The following is a 21,465-nucleotide window of genomic DNA, read 5'->3' as shown; positions in this document are numbered from 1 at the left end:
AATCTTAGACATTTTTAAGAGATTGCCAACATTTAAAAACTAGGATGCTGGCCAGGTGTGGTGGCTCAGGCCTGTAATCCCAGTACTTTGGGAGGCTGAGACAGGCGGATCACGAGGTCAGGAGTTCAAAACGAGCCTGGCTAACATGTTAAAACCCCATCGCTACTAAAAATACAAAAATTAGCCGGGCGTGGTGGTGGGTGCCTGTAATCCTAGCTACTCGGGAGGCTGAGGCAGGAGAATCGCTTGAAACTGGAAGACGGAGGTTGCAGTGAGCTGAGATTGCGCCACTGCACTCTAGCCTGGGCAAAAGAGCGAAACTCCGTCTCAAAAAAAAGAAAAAAAAAAAACTAGGGTGCTTCACATTTTACAAATCAGCATTTCCAACTCATCTGGAAAATGTCCATCAGGCTTAGTTTGGCTGCCCAATTGCATAGTACTCTACCACTCCCCACCCCCACCAGGTAAGATACACCTGCTGCCTCCACCCATTCGCCTTCCTGCTTGGGCCTGTGGGCGTGTCATCCTTCAGTCTTCATCCGTCTATTTATTCGCTCACCCTTTGCTGAGTATCTACTGTGTTCCAGGCACTTTTCTAGGCGCTGAGAACCCAGCAGTAATAATACAGGCAAAAATCTCTAACCTCGTGGATTTGAAATTCTTTTACAGAGAAACACAAAATAAACAAGGAGATAAGTAAAATATAGAGGATGTTAGAGAGTGAAAAATACTATGAAGAAAAATAAAGCGGAGAAGAGGAAAAGGGAATGTTAGGGCATAGATTTTTTTCCTTTTTATTTTGAAAATGTTTAAGGAATAGTCCCCATACACTGCACTTAGATTCACCAGTTGTTAACATTTGTGCATGCATGAACACATGTGCATGCATGTGTGTACATGCGCGTGCGCACACACAATTTTTGTTGTGATTTTTTTTTTTTTTTTTTTAGACGGAGTCTTGCTCACTCACCAGGCTGGAATGCAGTGGTGCGATGATCTCGGCTCGCTGCAACCTCCGCCTCCCAGGTTCAAGCAATTCTCCTGTCTCAGCCTCCCAAGTAGCTGGAACTACAGGCGTGTGCCACCACGCCTGGCTAATTTTTGTATTTTTCATAGAAATGGGGTTTCACCATGTTAGCCAGGATGGTCTCGATCTCCTGACCTCGTGATCCGCCCGCCTTGGCCTCCCAAAGCGCTGGGATTACAGGCGTGAGCCACCGTGCCTGGCTGACCTCATGACTCTTTACTCCTAAGTACTTTAACATGTATCTTCCAAGGACAATCTCCTACATTATTGTATTACTGTCAACACACCTAAAAACAAAAACAAACAAACAAAAATGCTAATTCTATACTATTGTCTCATTGGAAAGTCCATATTCAAATTGCCCTAAAATATCTTTTATAGCTATAGAGGATTTTTCAATCTGAGATTCAGTCAACATTCGTGCTTTGCATTTGATTGTTACACCTCATTAGTCTCTTTTACTCTAGAATAAATGAAGATTCCTTTTTCTTGTTCACAAGGTCTGGCTCGATCACCCAGACTGGAGTGTAGTGATGCCATTTTGGCTCACTTCAACCTCCACCTCTTGGGCTCAAGCCATCCTCCCTTCTCAGACTCCCAAGTAGCTGGGACTACAGGCATGCACCACCACACTCAGTTAATTTTTGTACTTTTTGTAGAAATGAGGTTTTGCCATGTTGTCCAGGCTGTACAACTTGTGAGCTCAAGCGATCTGCCCACCTCAGCGTCCCAAAGTGCTGGGATTACAGGCATGAGCCACCATGCCTGGCCTTTTTTTTTTTTTTTTTTTAGATGGAGTCTCACTCTGTCATTCAGGCTGGAGGGCAGTGGCATGATCTCGGCTCACTTGAGAATCACTTGAACCCAGGAGGTGGAGGTTGCATTGAGCTGAGATGATGCCACTGCACCATAGCCTGGGTGACAGAGCAAGACTGTGTCTCAAAAAAAAAAAAAATAATAATAATAATAATAAAGTCAGGGAGACCAACAGGGAATAGAGCATGGGGAGCTCTGTCACAGCAACACCCCCTTTCTCCTACAAATATTTTGTCATGTTCACTTGACTCTCTGAAATACTATTCATATTCATATATACACATATAGACATATCTACACCCGTAAGACTTTTTGACAGCTTTATTGAGATATAATTCACATACAACTCACCCTTTTAAGGTACACGGCTCTAGGCCCAGTATGGGGGCTCATGCCTGTAATCCCAGCACTTTAGGAGGCCGAGGCCGGAGGATCACTTGAGCCCAGAAGTACAAGGCTGCAGTGAGCTCTGATCACACCACTGCACTCCAGCCTGGGTATCAGAGCAAGACCCTATTTAAAAAAAGAGAAACATAAAATACATGATAAATAAAGTGTACAGTTCATTGGCTTTTATTATAGTCACATAGTTGTACACCTATTGCCACAATCCATTTTCAAACATTTGCACTGCCTTCAAAATAAATCCTTTTTTTTTTCTTTCTTTCTTTTTTTAGAGGCAGGGTCTTGCACTGTCACCCAGGCTGGAGTGTAGTGGCACCTGTTATAGCTCACTGCAGCCTCAAACTCCTGGGCTCAAGTGATCCCTTAGACTCCTGAGTAGCTGAGACGACAGGTGCACACCACTGCATCCAGCTAATTTATTTTTATTTTTTGTAGAGATGAGGTTTCACCATCTTGCCCAGGTTGATCTCTAATTCCTGGGCTCAAGCAGTCTCTGGCCTCTGCCTCCCAAAGTGCTGGATTACAGGCATAAGCCACCGAGCCTGGCCTCCAAAAGAAATCTTGATCATCTTAGCTATGACCCCTCGATCTCCCACCTCAGCTCACCCTCTCCCTAACCCCAAGCCACCACAAATCTACTTTCTGTGTCTATAGATTTGCCTATTCTGGACATTTCTGTAAAAGGAATCACACAGTATATGGTCAACCATCAACACTTTCTAATTCCAGAAAGTATCTATTACCCAAAAGAAATCCTATGCCTGTAGGCAGTTACCCCCAATCCCCTTCCTCCCATTCCCTGGCAACCACTAATCTACCTTTTTGGCTCTGTGGATCTGCATATTCTGGACATTTATGTAAATGAACTCAGCTGTGGTCTTTTGTAACTGGCTTCTTTCACTTAGCATAATTTTTTCTAGATTCATCCACGCTATAGCATGTATCAGTACTTTGTTCATTCAACGTATTGCCAAGTAATATTCCATTGTATGGATATACCATGTTTTATTTATCCCACGAGACTTTTTTAAATAAAGAAGAAATAAAAGGAAGGTGATTTGTTATAAAACAAGATGAATTTTATTTTTTGCTTCTTTGTTGTTGTTTTTGTTTTTTGTTTTGTTTTGTTTTTGAAACAGGGTCTGCTCTGTTGCCCAGGCTGGAGTACAGTGGCACAATCACAGCTCACTGCAGCCTCAACCTCCTGGGCTCAAGTGATCCTCCCACCTCAGCCTCCCAAGTAGCTGGGACCACAGGCAGATGCCACCACACCTGGCTATTTTTTGTATTTTTACTAGAGACAGGTTTTCATCATGATGCCCAGGCTGGTCTTGAACTCCTGGGCTCAAGTGATTCACCCTGCCTCAGCTTCCCAAAGTGCCGGGATTACAGGTGTGAGTCACTGCACCCAGCCAAGGTGAATTTTAATATGTAAATAAATAGTCAGGACCACAATAGAAGGAATAATGAATTAGGCAGCTGCTCACACCTAAGCATAGCTAAGTGAGACAACTACATATGTAAAGTGATCCAGAGTATAATACTGGAGACTTAAATAATACAAATGCTGTTGCTACTGACGCCAGGTTTTCTAAAATGATGAAAACTTTTAGTGAAGTGCAGAGCAAAACAAAGCACAATCTGCTCTTGATTTACTGGTAGTTGCGTTCCTGGAAATTTCAGTAGCTCTTAAAACCATGCAAACAATACTTGGTACTTACATGTGTCATGGGGTTGGGCTCTGAGCTCAGAGATTTTTTTTATTTTGTTATTTTTATTTACTTATTTATTTTGGGGGGGATAGGGTCTCACTGTGTCAGTTGGGTTCTGGGCTCAGAGACTTTTTTTTTTTTTTGAGTCAGGGTTTCACTGTGTTGCCCAGGTTGAAGTGCAGTGGCACAATTACAGCTCACTGTAGCCTATACCTCCCAGGCTCAAGTGATCCTCCCACCTTAGCCTCCTGAGTAGCTGGGACTACAGGCATGTGCCACCAGGCCAGCTAATGTTTTTAATTTTTTTTTTGTAGAGATGGGGTCATGCCATGTTACCCAGGCAGGTCTACAACTCCTGGGCTCAAGTGATCCTCCCACCTTGGCCTCCCGAGGTGCTGGGATTACAGGCGTGAGCCACCGTGCCCAGACGTGGGCTCAGAGATTTAAAAACAGGCTCTTCATCAGCATGAATGTCCAACAGGACATTCAAAAGTAGTCATATAGTGTCTGGGTGCGGTGGCTCACACCTGTAATCCCAGCACTTTGGGAGGCTGAGGTGGCTGGATCACTTGAGGCCAGGAGTTCGAGACTGGCCTGGCCAACATGGTGAAACCCTGTCTCTACTAAAAATACAAAAAAATTAGCTGGGCATGGTGGTGGGCGCCTGTAATCCCAGCTACTAGGGAGGCTGAGGTGGCAGAATCCCTTGAACCCAGGAGGTGGAGATTGCAGTGAGCCGAGATCGCACCACTGTGTACCAGCCTGGGTGACACAGTGAGACTCCGTCTCAAAAAAAAAAAAAAAAAAGTAGACATATAGGGCCTGGGACAGCTCTTTCTTGTGAGGGACTGACTCTCCATTGTGGGGTACAGACACCTATGGTCCTCCCCACTGACAGTCCACATCTTCCCCCAGTCCTTGCAACAACCAAAACCACCACCCCCACAAATTTCTCAGACACCCCCAGGGTTTAAGGGGACATGGGAAGGATTTTTGAGAGGGAGGAATTTATGTGTAGAAATGCTCTCGGAGGTGCAAAAGGACATGACTGGTTTTGAAATGTCTCCACAGGAATTAAGATTGATCAGACTTGCAGATGCTTGGACAAATGGGTGGTTGAAGGATGGCTGCTCTGCAACTGAGAAAGGAGAGGTCACCAGATTCAAATGACCAACTTCTTCATCCTGGAGAGTTCCCGTCCCAGGAATTAGAAGGAGATTGAAATCTAGATTCTTGGGTTCCCGATCCATTGTGTGACATCCAAGACATCCACTTACGTCTGCCTTCTCAGACAAAAGCCTTCATGTTATCTTCATTTTACAGACAGGACAACTAGATTAGTCTGCTAGGGCTGCCATAACAAAGTGCCAGAGACTGGGTGGTCTAAACAACAGGTATTTATATCTCATGATTCTGGAGGCCAGAAGTCCAAGATCAAGGTGTCAGCAGGGTTGGTTTCTTCTGAGGCCTCTCTCCTAGACCTTCTTCTCCCTGTGTCTTCACACAGTCTTCCCTCTGTGTGCATCTGTGTCCTAATCTCCTCTGCTTATAAGGACACCAGTCAGTAAATTAGGGCCCGCCCTAATGACCCCATTTTACCTTAATTATCTCTTTAAAGACCCTCTCTCCAAATATAGTCAAATTCTAAAGTACTGGAAGTTACGCCTTCAACATATGAATTTGAAGGGGACACAGTGTCAGCCCATAACAACAGAGAGTTCAACGAGAAGACCATGTCTAGGGGAGCACAATGGATCAGGAACCCAAGAGCCTAGATTTCAGCTCCGTCACTAACTGGGGAACCTTAGGACAAGTCCTTTCACCTCTTGGGCCTCAAGAGGCTCATCTGTAAAGTAAGGCTTAATGAAGGCTTTTCCAGGGCTGGAAGTCAGAGTACGTAACACTAGAAGGCATGGGTGGGCCATTGTGCAAGCTTGGAGTGAGATCCTGGAGGGCCCCATTGGATTAGCCATTAAGCTTTTAGATGCTGGACGCAGAGGAAGTACTAAGAGTCCCAGGTACATGGGACAGGGTGGTTGAGGGGCTACTGAGGGGACCTCAAATACTGGCTATTCATTAACCAACCATTGTGGATATATTTCAATTTTTTTAAAAAAAATTTTAATGTTAGAGGCAAGATCTCGCTATGTTGCCCAGGCTGGTCTCAAACTCCTGGGCTCAAGTTATCCTCCCACCTCAGCCTGTCAAAGTGCTGGGATTACAGGCCTGAGCCATTGCACCTGACCTGAAATATTTCAATATTTTTAACAACCAGTTGGACCATACTGGTGCATATCAAAAGGCCATGCTGGGCCTGATTTTGGATGCTGGAGAGGAGGGGTAGGGAATGACCTGGGGCGTCTCAGTCTCCAGCCACCGTAAAGACCCTCCCTTCGCCAGTTTGGTGGCTCAAATCTGTAATTCCAACACTTTAGGAGGCTAAGGCAGGAGATCCCTTGAGGCCAAGAGTTCAAGACCAGCCTGGGCAACATCGCAAGGCCCCATCTCTACTAATATAGATAGACAAAATTATATATATATATATATATATTATTTTATTTTATTTTGAGACAGGGTCTCCCTCTGTCACTCAGGCTGGAGTGCAATTTGGCACGAGCTCAGCTCACTGCATCCTCCCTCTCCTGGGTTCAAGCGATTCTCCTGCCTCAGCCTCCTGAGTAGCTGGGATTACAGGCATGTGCCAACACACAGCTGGCTAATTTTTGGATTTTTACTAGAGACGGAGTTTCACCATGTTGGCCAGGCTAGTCTGGAACTCCTGACCTCAAGTAATCTGCCTGCCTCAGCCCCCCAAAGTGCTGGGATTACAGGCGACAGCCACCGTGCCCAGCCTAATTTAATTTAATTTTTTAAAAAAATAAAATTAAAGACCCTCCCTTTTGCTCCCCACGCAGGCCAAGCTGATCGTCCCCAACAGCACGGCGGGCCTGATCATCGGCAAGGGAGGCGCCACGGTGAAAGCCGTGATGGAACAGTCAGGAGCATGGGTGCAGCTGTCCCAGAAGCCGGAGGGCATCAACCTGCAGGAGCGCGTGGTGACGGTCAGCGGCGAGCCCGAGCAGGTGCACAAGGCCGTGAGCGCCATCGTGCAGAAGGTACAAGAAGACCCCCAGAGCAGCAGCTGCCTCAACATCAGCTACGCCAACGTGGCAGGCCCCGTGGCCAACTCCAACCCCACCGGCTCTCCGTACGCCAGCCCCGCGGATGTGCTGCCAGCCGCGGCCGCAGCGTCGGCCGCCGCCGCCTCCGGCCTGCTGGGCCCCGCCGGGCTGGCTGGCGTGGGGGCCTTTCCCGCCGCGCTGCCCGCCTTCTCAGGCACCGACCTGCTGGCCATCAGCACGGCGCTTAACACGCTGGCAAGTTACGGCTACAACACCAACTCCCTGGGCCTGGGCCTCAACTCGGCCGCAGCTTCCGGCGTCCTGGCCGCCGTGGCCGCCGGGGCCAACCCAGCAGCCGCCGCCGCCGCCAACCTCCTGGCATCCTACGCGGGCGAGGCCGGGGCCGGGCCAGCCGGAGGGGCCGCCCCGCCGCCGCCCCCGCCTCCCGGAGCCCTGGGGTCCTTTGCGTTGGCCGCAGCCGCCAACGGCTACCTCGGGGCCGGGGCGGGCGGCGGGGCGGGCGGAGGGGGCGGCCCGCTGGTGGCCGCTGCAGCCGCGGCCGGGGCGGCCGGGGGCTTCCTGACGGCGGAGAAGCTGGCGGCTGAGAGTGCCAAGGAGCTGGTGGAGATTGCGGTGCCTGAGAACCTGGTGGGAGCCATCCTGGGGAAGGGGGGCAAGACGTTGGTGGAGTACCAGGAGCTGACGGGCGCTCGCATCCAGATCTCCAAGAAGGGCGAGTTCCTGCCAGGCACGCGGAACCGGCGGGTCACCATCACGGGCAGCCCCGCGGCCACGCAAGCCGCTCAATACCTCATCAGTCAGCGGGTCACCTACGAGCAGGGAGTGAGGGCCTCAAACCCCCAGAAAGTGGGATGAGGCCTGTGGTGTGTGCTCCCACCCTTTTCTCTCCTCCCATCTCCTCCTCTTCCCTCTCCTCCTCCCCCCCAACTCCTGACCTCAGCTTGGTGTAGTCCTGCTCCTCTTGGGATGGGGCTGGGGTAGGCCCGACTGCACCCTCCCCTTCTGGTAGTCATAGGCAGGATTGAGTGACGGTTGGGAAGGGGGCTCAGAAGCCCCCTCCCCAGCCCGGAACTGACCCCTCCTTCCTCCCTCCCTGTGCTTGGCTGGGCCTGACCCTTCCTGTCCCAGGGCCCAGGTCTGTGTGATATCTGTATATATTGCATTTTGTTGATTTTAATAGAAAACAAAGCGTTATTTTCTCTTTCTTTCCCTCCTTTTTTTTTTTTTTTTTTTTTTTGGTAAGGATTTTTTCCCCCTTTATAAGTTTTTGTTTCCATATGGGAGGAGGGGAGGGAGCCTCTGGGTCACCCAGAATGAGGGGCCTTCCCAAAACACAACACCCCACCTCTCTGCTTTCAGTTCTAGATCTGAGGGAAGCCATGGGAGTAGAGGTAGCAGAGGCGTCTGAGCTGAAATGGGGCATTTGGAGCAAGGACCCCAGAGTTCCCAGATCTTCTCAGCTACTCTCCTCCCACTGGAGCTGTCCCTCCTAGGTGGGAATGTTCACTCTTTTGTTGTCAGGTTGTATGGGGGGGCAGGGACAGTGCTGCTGGGAAGGATGCCAGCTCTGGGATTGGGCCAGTCCTGTGGGCAAGACTTGCAAGAGGCTGGATCAACTTGGTGTGGTATCTCTGATGGCTTAGAGTAATGGCAATGAGGGTCTCTGTTGTGATGTCACTGAGTACTTTCTGGGGTGCTTCTGGGCACCCCTTATGATGTCACAGGAAGCAGTTCCTCAGAGGTTACTTCCTGTGAACATAAGGGAGCAGGTACTTCCTGTGATGTCTCAATGAGTTCTTCCTTGAAGGTCACTTTGGTGATATCATGGGAAGGTGTACTTCCGGTGATGCCTAGAGGTCACGTCCTGTGATGTCATTAGGCTGAAGCATGTACTTCCTGTATTGGACAGTGACCAGTCTCTGACCTGCCTTCTCCCTCCACACCCTTCTTTGGTGGGTGTTGGCCTGGGGGTCTTCCTAGGAAGAGAATAAGGCACGGGACTTGGATCCAATCTGGAGGACTCTAACGGAAAAAAACCAATATTGTCAGGGTCATCTCCATTCAAACACGTCAAGTCTGCGAACTCGCCCTGGAGGGAGGGGTGGGAGATGGACCTAGTGCAAACTACTGTTAAAGACCTCCCTTCCCACCCCTGCCTTTTGTGTGCATGCCTGTGTCTGCGTGGCTTTGTTTCATTGAATCGGGTGAGCCAAGTGTGTGGTGGCTCTGTCAGGCCAGTATGGCCAGGTGTAGAGTTCAGTGAGCCATAGTAGGGTCCCTTGGGCCAGAATGCTTCGTGTGGTCTGATAGGTTAGATTGGTTTGGTGGCTTCCAGCAAGCTGGCATACTTCGGTGATGTCTGATGGATCAGAATGTTTTGGTGTGCTCACCAGGGGCTCTGGAGAACTAGAATGTTCTGATGGAGTCTGACAAGCCAGGCGGCCTTGAGAGTTGGTTTAGGAGTGGCTCCCTGAGTGCTGTGGCTGTGGTCAGCTCTAAGGACCTGTTGGCAGACTGAGATTTCAGGGCCTGACAACCATGTAGACTAGGATAGCTGAGACCTCCCTCTACCCCCACCCATCTCCCTCTCTTCCTTGGAGACCACCTCCACTTTCTCCAACCCAAAGCAGGGCGCCCAGTGCCCTGGTTCCATCATCAGCATCTCTGGGGGAGGGGCGCCCCATGCCCACCCTCTCCCCCATTTGTCCGCCTCCTAGGTCTTCCAAACCCTTTTCTTCTCTATGACTTTGGGGGAAATCCAGCCTCCTTGTCTCTCTCCTAAAAAAGGAGGGAAGAAAAGCCACAGAGACAATTCCTGCCCCTAAAGCCTAGGAGATCCCTCTCCCTTGCTAGAGAGCCACCCCCAAATCAAAATGTGAAAATCCCTAGAAAGCAATAGCCTTCGAGGTACCTTGCACTGAATTTCCCACCCCAGCCCTTCCACCCGATGGGAGGCTGTAACTTGGGCACTGGGGTGACTTTTTCCATGCCCTTGTCATCTCCAGGGTGGGAGGCAGGCCCCACTTCCCCTCCCCTATCCCCCACTTCCCATTGTTGTTGCCCCACCCCTAATCTCCAGACTGAACCCAGATGGAGATCTGAGTGCCAAAACAATTCTTGATGTAACTTTGTACATATCTTCTACTACCGTTGGGGGCTCTTGGGGTTAGAGGTGGGGGCGGCTCTGTGGGCCATTGCTCCCCTCCACCTCTCAAAAGACCTTACAGTATTTCACAGTATCTCTACCCGCACGCGAGTATTACAGTATCTAGCTGGAATATCCCCCTACAGCCCCCCAGGACCCTATGAGGAAGGGAAGGAGCCAGGGAGAGTGAAGTAAGGTCTGGGACTGGGGAGGTGGGATCTGAATGAACTCATTTGCATATCATTTGCATCCTCCGCTTGGCAGCCGCTTTCTACAAACTCATTCACTGGAGTCTGGGTCCCAATCAGCCGGGTCCAGGACTCCTCTCACACAGACACATCTCCGGAGGCTGGGCCTCCTGAAAAGTGTTTGCTTGGGGTGTCTGTGTAACAACCCCTCCCTATTCATATTTCTTGGGGACCCCCTACCCAGCCAGCCAGGGTGATCTGAAAGGTATACTTTGCTAGCTCAGTGAGCTAGTTCACTCACCATGTTGGTGAGCAGAGAGCCACACCTTTCCCCATTTTACCTTGGGAAACTCACTCCACCATCTTTGCCATCTCTTGAAAGTCCCTTCTGCAATCTGACCTCAATCTTTTGTGCTGCAGTTTGTCCAGAGGGGACACAGATGTGGGGTCAGGGATGAGGATTATTGAAAAACCCATCATCTCTTTTTTTTTCCCCGTCTCCCTATTAGCCAATCCGATCTCAGAGTCTCTGAGTGGCCTCCTTGCACCCTTCTCTTCAGCACCCAGTAGGTGCTTAATAAGTGTTTGCTGCATTGGATTATCTCCCTATTCCTTCTCATTTGCCCTCTAGCTTCCCATACCTTCTCCAAGTGTCTTCCTCCCTTTCTTTGTCTGGCTCCCTATGACTTTCTATTTTTTTTTCCTCCGTGTGGTTCCCATTGTTTTCTGTCCTGTCTCTATCTTAGTCTTTGTCTGTCTTCCTCCTTTCCTCAAATGTCTCAACTCTCTCTCCCCAATTTCCCCATTTAAAAAAAAAAAAAAGTGCCAAACTTCCTTGGAACTGAGCCGCTCTGGGGGGAGAGGACCTTGGATAGAGGGGAGGAAATGGGACCATTTCTCTTTGAGGAGGTCCCTAAGAGGCATTGCAAAAGTGTGGACATGGAGCTAAATTGGGTCCCCCTTCCACAGCCCTCCCACCCTGAGTTTTTCTTAGAATCTTTGTAAGAAAAAAAAAAAAAGACAGAAAAAAGCTCTCCTTTTCAACTTACCCCTATCCTTTTGGGTCCCCCCAAATTCCACCAGCCAAGGAGAATCCCACTTGCCAACTTCCTGGCAAATCTATGGAAACTGGGGAGGAGGAGACAAGCTCAACTCCTCCTCTGCTAGCCCAAGGGGCGGTACCAACTGGATTCAAGAGAAGGACCTCAAAGCTCCTATGAGAAGAGGGGGTTCGATGTGCCAAATTAACCTCCTTCATCCCCCATCTCAGGGGGCTCTGAGCCAACCTGCCCAGCCACCTTCTTCTGCCCTGTCCCAGCCACCTCTACATGGGCAAGGAGGCTTCACTGCAATAATTAGTAGGGGTGGTGATCAGAAGACAATGATTTTGCCGTTTCTATCTGCCCTAACGCCTACCCTGGACTTGTAGTTGGGAATTATGGGTATCCCAAGTGGATGTTGATAAAAGCCGACCTATAGATGGTTGGGGACCTCTACTTGGAACACCAGGGTGTCGCTTATCTCCGAGGTGTATTTCCTCTCCCCTCTGGACCACCAAATCCTTCAATATCCCCTCATTCTGTTTCTCCTCCCTGTTCCTCCATCCCACATCCTCCTTCTTACTTTGTTTTGATTGGTGGCCAATTGTTTGGAAAATGAGAGGAGTCCCCCTGAATGGATGATTGCTGTTTCAGGACCGGGATTAGAGGCTGTGATAGACTGTGCAGTGGCAAAAGTATTAACAAGAGTGGCGATGAGGATGGCAGTTGGGGCGTCCAGGCTGCTGACTGAGTGCCCGCCTGTCGGTACAGCCAGCCAGGCCTTCGACAAGCACCTGCCTGGAAACCGGGCTCGCTGTCCTGAAAGCCTGGACTGGATGTCACGATGGGGAGAACGGGATCGCGATACCCAAGCTGGGGCACAGGCGAGCCAGGGACACTGGTTTACTGGGGTGATAACACCCAGCCCTGCTATCGCGATCCGTTTGCACTGTGGTCAGCTGTCTCCACGCCGTGGTTGGAGAGGGCTTGTCTCCGGGCGCCACTGCTGGTGTGTATGGTCTGTCTTAGTGTCCCCTGCAAGTTGCATTGGAGATTGCTGGGTGGCAGGGAGGGAAATGGGAAGAGAATCTGTGGGGTCATGGTGGTGAAGGCTGCTGGTTTTTAATCCCTTCTCAACCAGTCCAGGACACTTGTCTCCCAGAGATAACTGGGGGGGGACTGCCTAACCCCCCCTCCCCCACCCCTTTCCCTACCCCACCTCTCCCCCCAAAACCACCAACCTCTCATCTTCTAAGTGACTCCATCACCACCGGCCACCGGGACCTGCGGCCTCATTGCTCCAGCCCGCCCCACTCGACCGTCAGACTCGCTCATCGAACTCTTTTTGATTAACCCTTTCTGTGTTCATCCCACGGAAAACTGTGTGTCCGGCAGGGGGGAGGGGGGAGGCTAGGGGCAGTTGCTACCTTTCCTCCATCTCCTCCCACCACCCATGCCTCCCCACCCGCACCCCATCCCATGCCCCACCCCCATCCCTCACCCCTAGGGTCTGCCCCACCCTGGGGATTGACATCCTCTATAAATATCTATGCTATTTGGCTTTGTCCCTTTAAAAGGCGGGTCCAGGGGCGTGGCCTCCCTCAAATGGAGCGCTCACTCTGACCCCCTCCTTCGTGTGCCCCCCACACACTCCCCACGCCTTCATTGTAAATAGTCACTTTTGTACTGGGTTTGAGCCAGGGGACGTGGGGAGTCATTTTTCTTTTCTTTATGTTGGCATCTCAGGCCACTGGAGGCATGGCCCACATCCCGGGTCGATTTGGGAGAATTTTAAGGTATGTCCCCTCACCTGTCCCCATCGCTAAGGATTTCAAGCTATCAGTATTACTCTAGAGGGATGGGGTGCATAGATTCCCCGGCAGGGTGGTGGGAGAGGTGTGGAAAGGTGTAGTCTGGGAGGATGCCTCCGTTTTCCCCTTCTGTGAAATGGATTCATCCTCCAATTTCCCTGAGGAGCCTCAGTGAGATAATGGTGGAGTCAGAGGAGCTAGAACCTCTCTTCCCCCTTTCTCTGTTGGAGACAGGGTAGCAGAAGAATGGGGGACAGGGGAGGCTGCAGGGCCATCTTTGGAGAACCGATTGCTAAATCCTTCTTAGGACCTTAAGGTAGCCTCCTCTCCAGGCTTGTTCTCCCTCTTGGAATATGGGGAGGACTGGAGGACCTCTAAGGTCCCTTGGTTCTCCCCAGTCCTTAGATTAAAAGGCCCAGGCCCCAGGCTGGCCCCCTGCCTGCTGTCCCACTCCTTCATTCCATTTCTTGGAATGTGGCCATGCCTCCAGTGCCTCCATTCAACCCCCTCTAACTGATTCCTTCCATCCTCTGCGACCAGAGACGCCGCCCGCCTCCTGCCCACCACCTCCAGAAGCTCCTGGCTGGGGTGCACTGCCGTCTCCTCCCACTCCCCACATTGCCATGCCTGGGCCACGCCCACCCCACCCACTCACCCACCCCCAGTGTCCGTTGTGTGACCTAGTGCACCATGTATTAGCTTCCATGGCCCCCACCCCAGCCCCCACCACACCCCCTTTCCCCACCCCTTTCCCCTCGGCGACTTCACCTTTTTTTGCCGCGATAAACGCCATCTCAGCATCTGTGTCTAATGTTGTCTTTTTTGCTTGACATCACACACTCCTTCTTAACCCATCCCCTTCCCTCTCCCTCCTCCCTGCACCTCCACCCTCATCCTAAATTCTTTCCCCCTTTCCCCCAGGGCTCTGGGCATTTAGGGGAAGAGGGTGGGGGGACCCCTGAGGATGGTCCCAGATGGGGGAGCTGGGGAGGGAGGACTGTTCTCTCTGGACGGGGTGAGCATCCGGAGTAACTGTGATTGAAGAGAAGCAGGTGCTCAAGTTTAGCTTCCAGAGGCCGGGCGCAGTGGCTCACGCCTGTAATCCCAGCACTTTGGGAGGCCGAGGCGGGCAGATCACCTGAGCTCAGGAGTTCGATACCAGCCTGGCCAACATGGTGAAACCCAGTCTCTACTAAAATACAAAAAATTAGCTAGGCATGGTGGCACGCGCCTATAGTCCCAGCTACTTGGGAGGCTGAGGCAGGAGAATTGCTTAAACCTGGGAGACGGAAGTTGCAGTAAGCCAAGATCGCACCATTGCACTCCAGCTTGGGCAACAAAGCAAGACTGTCTCAAAAAAAAAAAAAATGTAGCTTCCAGGGCCTCAGTGTCCAGTCAGGAGAACCGACACCACCACCACCACACACATATGCAGAGCCACAGTCCCACAAACAGGCTTTTGTCTTGGACGCACATCCCCACACACAGCCCTGCAAATACACAACGCCAGGTAGAATCAGGATAGGCCAAGGTGGAGGTTTTCGAGTCAGGTGAGCTATGGGTTTAGATCCCCGTGCTGCTGTGTTACCCTCAGTCCTTTGCTCCTCTGAGCCTTCAGGTCCCCATCTGTAACATGGGGATTTTTTAAATTGTTATTTCTACATCATATGGCTTATGCTTGGATCGATACACTATTCACTTTTTTAAAAATGATTACTGAAGACCTATGATGCATAAGGCACTGTTCTAGGTGCTGAAGATAAAGCAATGAACAAAACAGACCCAGGTATCTCTGGCTTTTTGGAGCATACAGTCTACTGGAATTGGGAAATTCTTCTTAACACAAAACCTGACACGTGGGACTCAAATGAATTCAGAGGTTGCAAACCATCGGCCAACAGGCAGGTGCGGTACCCATAATTTCATTTGACCCAAACAGTGTTTTGTGGAATTGTTGCCAGCATTTAAACATTGGGAGACTTTTGAAAACATGGGTTTCAAGACCCTCTTGAGAAATGCCATGTGATAGCTTTGATTGCAATTGCCACCTGCCCATAATGGGCTGGCCTGGGGCAGCCACTGCCACTCACCCAGGGCAGAGAGGCTTAGCCCCTTCCTGACCGGCACTGCTCATTTATCTCACATGCCTAGGCTCTGGACGTTTGCAACCCCTGAGCAAATATTTAAAAATTACTAGCCTGGCTGGGTGTGGTGGCTCACACCTGTAATCCCAGCAATTTGGGAGGCTGAGGCAGGCGGATCACTTGAGGTCAGGAGTTCGAGACCAGCCAACATGGTGAAACCATTTCTTTACTAAAAATACAAAAATTAGCTGGACATGGTGGCAGGTGGCTGTAATCCCAGCTACTCAGAACACTGAGGCAGGAGAATCACTGGAACCCAGGAAGCGGAGGCTGCAGTGAGCCAAGATCGCACCACTGCACTCCAGCTTGGGCAACAGAGCGAGACTCCGTCTCAAAAAAAAAAAAAAAAAAATTGCCTGACTGGATGTGGTGGCTCACACCTGTAATCCCAGCACTTTGGGAAGCCATGGCAGGAGAATCGCTTGAGCCCAGGAGTTTGAGACTCTGTCTCACAAAAAACTTCAAAATTAGCCAGGTGTGTTGGTACATGCCTATAGTCCCAGCTACTCGGGAGGCTGAGGCAGGAGGATCGCTTGAGCCTGAGAGGTCGAGGCTGCAGTGAGCTGTGATTGCACCACTGCACTCCAGCCTGGGCAACAGAGCAAGACCCTGTCTCATAAAAAAAAAAAAAAAGATAAGTAATTGCCTTACATTTTGGAGGTGTCAGAGATGCAGCTTGGCAGATAATGACAGAGAAACAAGAGACCAAGGCCAAGGAGGCTGGGTGGGGTGAGGCCAGACGCTTGGATTCTGGTGTGACCCAAGGCACTTTCTCTTCCTCTCCCTGGCTCCCAATTTCCACATCTGGAAAACGCCCTAGAAAGCTGTACTTGCCTTCTGGAATATTCCAGAAGGATTCTACATGTCACTCACCCCTTCAGTACCTGACATAGAGAAAACGCTCAGCGCATGGTAGTCACCAGAGACCCCCTCCAGCTGATAAAAATAACAATAACAGGACTCCAGAAAAGGACAAGCCCAACAGAGGGGGATGGAAGAAGGGGGACTCAGGCTAGGATAAAGTAAGCAAGAGCGATAGGGATGAAGAGGAGGGCAGACATGGAGATGAGGCTCCACCTGCTGGGGATGTGTCCATCCACTCATTCATTCGTTCATTCAACAGGTATTTATTGAACACCTACTGTGTTCTGGGCCTAGGGATATGGTGATGCCCAGGACACATCACTGTTGTTGTATTTACAGCCCACAGGCCATATCCCTCACTCTCAGCACATAGTAGGTGTCCAAAAGTCTACCATCCCATGAGCCACAGGCGCCTCTGGTCCTGGCCTGTGACCCTCAAGCATTGCCTGGTATTCAGAAACATTGCCAAGCCAGGCCATTTTCAGGAAGAGTAAAGGAATTTTCCACCAAGAAGCTGGGAAATTGGAAGGGATTTGGAGGGACAGGGCGGGTGTTTCTGTTCTGCTGTGTGGCTTTGGAAAACCCTCATGATGTCTCTGGCCCAGGAAATGGAAAGGAAAGGAGATGAGGTCAGGATGAAGGTGAGTAATGGGAGATTCCTAGCTCCCTCAAAGCCCCCAAACCTTCTCCTCTGGGCAGGGGGTGAGGGGAGTATAGAGAGAATTGCAAAGGTGGGGGATCTGAATGAGAAGAGAGATGGAGAAAGAAGACAGAGAAGTTGCCTGGAGCACAGAGACAGCCCTAGAAAGAGGGCTGGGAAGGGGGAAGGAGGGAGGAAGGGGCCTAGGCAGGGACCTGGTGGGGGTGTCTCAAGAGAGGTCTCTACACATGAGAGGAGCCAGGTCATTAAGAGGGGACGGGGAGGCCAGGCGCAGTGGCTCATGCCTGTAATCCCAGCACTTTGGGAGGCAGAGGTGGGAGAATCTCGTGAGCTCAGGAGTTTGAGGCCATCCTGGACAACATGACGAAACCCTGTTTCTACAAAAAACATAAAAGTTAGCTAGGTGTGGTGGTGCGTGCCTGTAGTCCCAGCTCCTTGGGAGGCTGAGGTGGAAGGATCGCTTGATCCCTGGAGGCAGTTTGCAGTGAGATCACACCACTGCACTCCAGCCTGGGTAACAGAGGAAGACCCTGTCTCAAACAAAAATAAAAAACAGAGGAAGGAGAATAGAGATGGTGGAGATGAACTAGAAGAGAGGGAGAGGCAGGCACACACAAATAGAAAATGAAAAAGAGGCAGAAACTGGAAAGTGACGGAGATAAGGTTGCCAAGGTTTAGCAAATAAAAATACTGTGTGTCCAGTGGCATTTGAATTTCAGATTAAAAGAACTTTTTAGGCCGGGCGCGGTGGCTCACACCTATAATCCCAGCAATTTGGGAGGTGGAGGCAGGCAGATCACCTGAAGTCAGGAGTTTGAGACCAGCCTGGCCAACATGGTGAAACCCCCATCTCTACTAAAAATACAAAAATTAGCCGGGCGTGGTGGCACACGCCTGTACTTCCAGCTACTTGGGATACTGAGGCAGGAGAATCGTTTGAACCCAAGAAGCAGAGGTTGCAATGAGCTGAGATCAAACCATGGCACTCCAGCCTGGGTGACAGAGTGGAATTCCATCTCAAAAAAAAAAAAAAGTGTAAAAATGTCCCATGCAATATGTGGGCAATACGTATGCTACAATATGAATTGTTGCTTATCTAAAATTCAAATGAAACTGGGCATCCTGTATTTTACCTGGCAACCTTAGGTGGAGGAAAACAAAAAGAAATCTGAGGGGCAACAAAAAAAGCCAGGAGAACTGGTTAAAGGAGCCGAGGCGTCCACCATCTGGAATCCCAACTGGGGCATGCCCAGCTTACTGCCCGTAACTCCTGTATCCCTTTCCTCTCTGCCCTTCTGTCACCCTTCTCTGTCCCTCTGTGCCCCCCATCTCTCTGTCCCCTCTCTATGTTCCTCCATCCTCCCTCCCTCTGTCCCTCTGCTCCCCATCCTGTCCCTCTGTCCCCCCTGTCCCTCTGTCTCCCTCTCTCTGTCCTTCTGTCTCCTTCTCTCTGTTCATCCTCCCCCTCTCTGTCTTTCTGTCCCCCTCCTCTGCCCCTCCTCTCTGTCCCTCTGCCCCCCACCTCTGTCTCCCCTCTGTCCCCTCTCTCAGCCCCTGGATCCCTCCCTCTCTCTGCCCCTAGTTTCTCAGTCTCCACTTTCCCTGCCTCACACGCTCCCTGCTTTCTGTCCCTACGTTTCCCTCTCTTTTTTCGTTGGTGTCCCTGTTTTGCAGTCCTTCTGTCCCTCCCGCCACCCCCAACTCCTCTTAGTTCCTCAGTCAGTCACTACTCCTGGAATCTGCCTCACACATTAAAACCAGTTGAGTCACTGTTCTCACTCCTACCAAGCTGTCAAGTGGGGGCTGGTTTTGGGGGACAAGGCCTCAGGGGCAAGTGATGGAGAATGGGAAACACTTTCAGGGGCACTACCCCCTCCGCAGTCAGAGCTGATGAAGCTTTGGGCTGGGAATAGGTGCTGGGACAAAGAGACGTTCTGCCAGGCAAATGCTCGCTGCCACCAAAATCAGAGAGTCTAGCAAGTCAGAGATTTCTCCAAAGTCCCCTCCATTCTCCTGCCTTCAACTGCCATGCCTTCAGAGAAGTCTGTTCTCTAAAGAGGCCTCTCCGGCCGGGCGCGGTGGCTCACACCTGTAATCCCGGCACTTTGGGAGGCCGAGGTGGGCGGATCACCTGAGGTCAGGAGTTCGAGACCAGCCTGGCCAACATGGTGAAACCCCGTCTCTACTAATAATACAAAAATTAGCCAGGCGAGATGGCAGATGCTTGTAATCCCAGCTACTCGGGAGGCTGAGGCAGGAGAATTGCTGAACCCGGAGGTGGAGGTTGCAGTGAGGGGAGATTGCGCCACTACACTCCAGCCTGGGCGACAGACCGAGAGTCCGTCCCTAAATAAATAAATAAATAAATATTTAAAATGAGGCCTCTCAACCAACACCTTCACGCCAGCATTCTGGTGAGGTCTCCGTGTCCCTGTTTCTGGCCCACCTGCCCTTGCCTCTCACTCCTCTCTGCCTGTTATCTTCCGTATTTCTCTGAGTGTCTGTCTAACCAGGTCTTCCTTCTCCCATTGATTTTTTTTCCTGCATCTCCACCCCACTTCTGCAGAATTGTCTTTCTCCTTGTCTCTTCGCAGGGATGGGGTCTCTGTGTGTCTCCCTGAATCACTTTCCCTGTCTCTGTCCGTGTCTGCATCTATTTCTCCCTGTCTGTGTACCCATCGTTGCTCAGAGGCGCGAACAGAATTCACTTGGGACAGTGTAAGCAAAAAGGACTTATTAAGGGACACAGAGCCTCTCAGAAGAAACAGAATCTAGGCTGAGCCTCCAGGGCATTCTCAAATCCAGCGCTCAGAAAGGGCCGTCCAGGAACCGCTGCTCCTCCTGCGCGATCAGGAAGCCGCCAGCCGGCTCCACCGCCGCAGCCTCTCGCCGGGATCTGCACTGGCCTTCGGGCTGCCTCTCGCCCAGCTTACTTCGGTAAGAAATTCAAGCTTCCCGCGGAGGCACCTGATTGGTGGAACCTAACCTCCGGCCACATGCGCAGCCACAAGGCATTCTGGGAAACGTAGTTTTGAGCCCTCCAGCCGCTGCAGTCGCAGGAAGGTGCGCTAGGAGAGTGGAATAGATGTTGAGAGGCGCCACACCTCCTCCACGTGGTTGCACGCCCTCTCTCTCTGTCCATCTCTGTTTTTACGTGCATGTATAATCTCACTTGCTGTCTTCGTGTGTGTTCTGTCTCCTTGGTTTGATTTTCCCCCCCATCTTTTTCACTCTCCAGAATTTGTTTTTGTTTTTGTTTAGTTTGAGACAGAGTCTCGCTCTGTCGCCCAGACTGGGGTGCAATGGCGCGATCTCGGCTCAGTGCAACCTCCGCGATTCTCCTGCCTCAGCCTCCCGAGTAGCTGGGACTACAGGCACCCACCACCACGCCCGGCTAATTTTTGTATTTTTAGTAGAGATGGGGTTTTGCCACGTTGGCCAGGCTGGTCTCGAACTCCCGACCTCAGGTGATCCACCTGCCTCGGCCTCCCAAAGTGCTGGCATTACAGGCGAGCCACCGTGCCTGGCCCCCACGCTCGTTTTATTTCAATTCTTCCATCTCTATGGCCTTCTCTGTCCTTTTTCTTGGTCACCACCTGTATGACCAGTGCCAATTCTCATAGCCCCCTGCCTCACCATTATCCTCATCCTCAGTTCCAACCTTACTATCGGGGATCTCCCTCTTGACCTTCACCCCACTCTCAGCTGAACCAGAAGCTCAGATCCCTAAGGAAGAAGAGGAGGGAGAGGTAAGACATGGGTGTCCCGTAGTTCCACAGACAAGCCAGGAACAGGACCCATGCTTTGGCATTTCTCAGCTGCTCTCCCTGCAGGTGGAAAGATCAAGCACCTCCAGGTAGGCAACGTGAACCGAAAGAGACCGGTGAGTTACTGGCTAGAGTTGGAGTGGCCACAGTGGGGGATTATGGTTTCGGTTTGGAGCAGAGTAGGGCCCTCAGTTGGCCAGAAGTAATTGACCACTCAGCTTTACTCTCCAGAAAGCTGCGGCCATCTCAACCCCATTTTCTCTTCACTGTTCTTTCTCTTAACCAATGAGCTTCCAACTGTAGGGAAATGGAGCTGCATCCTTCTCAGGAGGTACCTAGTCATTTAAAAAAATACATTTATTGGCCGGGCGCAGTGGCTCACGCCTGTAATCCCAGCACTTTGGGAGGCCAAGGCGGGTGGATCACGAGGTCAGGAGTTCAAGACTAGCCTGGCCAAGATGGTGAAACCCTGTCTCTACTGACAATACAGAAATTAGCAGAGCGCGGTGGCAGGCGCCTGTAATCCCAGCTACTCAGGAAGCTGAGGCAGGAGAATCGCTTGAACCCAGGAGGTGGAGGTTGCAGTGAGCCGAGATCGTGCCACTGCACTCCAGCCTGGAGACAGAGCGAGACTCTCTCTCAAAAAACAAACAAACAAACAAACAAAAAACAAGTACACACACACAAATGAGTACAAATAAGTGTAAAATCTGAACAACATCAGTGGATTGTATCGATGTCT

At 50.9% G+C, this 21,465-nt stretch overlaps 1 protein-coding gene across 2 annotated transcripts in view, besides 3 other annotated features; it reads left to right on the top strand.

Moving 5' to 3' along the window:
• Window positions 1–14,087, top strand: part of NOVA2 (NOVA alternative splicing regulator 2) — a 40,132-nt gene extending 26,045 nt beyond the window's left edge. For both annotated transcript variants that reach the window (NM_002516.4, XM_006723230.4), the window contains one exon: window positions 6,876–14,087. In NM_002516.4, the coding sequence (NP_002507.1) occupies window positions 6,876–7,958 (1,083 nt within the window). In that variant the 3' untranslated portion in view covers window positions 7,959–14,087. The remainder of the gene's footprint in view (window positions 1–6,875) is intronic.
• Window positions 7,999–8,098: a transcriptional cis regulatory region, noted in NCBI's record as "silencer 7 or peak_14115 region targeted for CRISPR/Cas9 genome editing". NCBI's record gives its function as "negatively regulates DMPK gene expression in K562 erythroleukemia cells {active_cell/tissue: K562}" and the evidence as "EXISTENCE:mutant phenotype evidence [ECO:0000015][PMID:32103011]".
• Window positions 19,980–20,049: an enhancer, noted in NCBI's record as "active region_14831". NCBI's record gives its function as "activates an Ori minimal core promoter by ATAC-STARR-seq in GM12878 lymphoblastoid cells {active_cell/tissue: GM12878}" and the evidence as "EXISTENCE:reporter gene assay evidence [ECO:0000049][PMID:35858748]".
• Window positions 20,355–20,855: an enhancer, noted in NCBI's record as "H3K4me1 hESC enhancer chr19:46430224-46430724 (GRCh37/hg19 assembly coordinates)". NCBI's record gives its function as "activates a minimal SCP1, AML or CMV promoter by ChIP-STARR-seq in naive H9 embryonic stem cells {active_cell/tissue: H9 hESC(naive)}" and the evidence as "EXISTENCE:reporter gene assay evidence [ECO:0000049][PMID:30033119]".

Source organism: Homo sapiens, chromosome 19 (assembly GCF_000001405.40).
Source record: "Homo sapiens chromosome 19, GRCh38.p14 Primary Assembly".
Lineage (NCBI taxonomy): Eukaryota > Metazoa > Chordata > Mammalia > Primates > Hominidae > Homo > Homo sapiens.
Note: the sequence above shows the minus strand (reverse complement) of the source record. Positions and strands in the feature narration are given on the sequence as shown.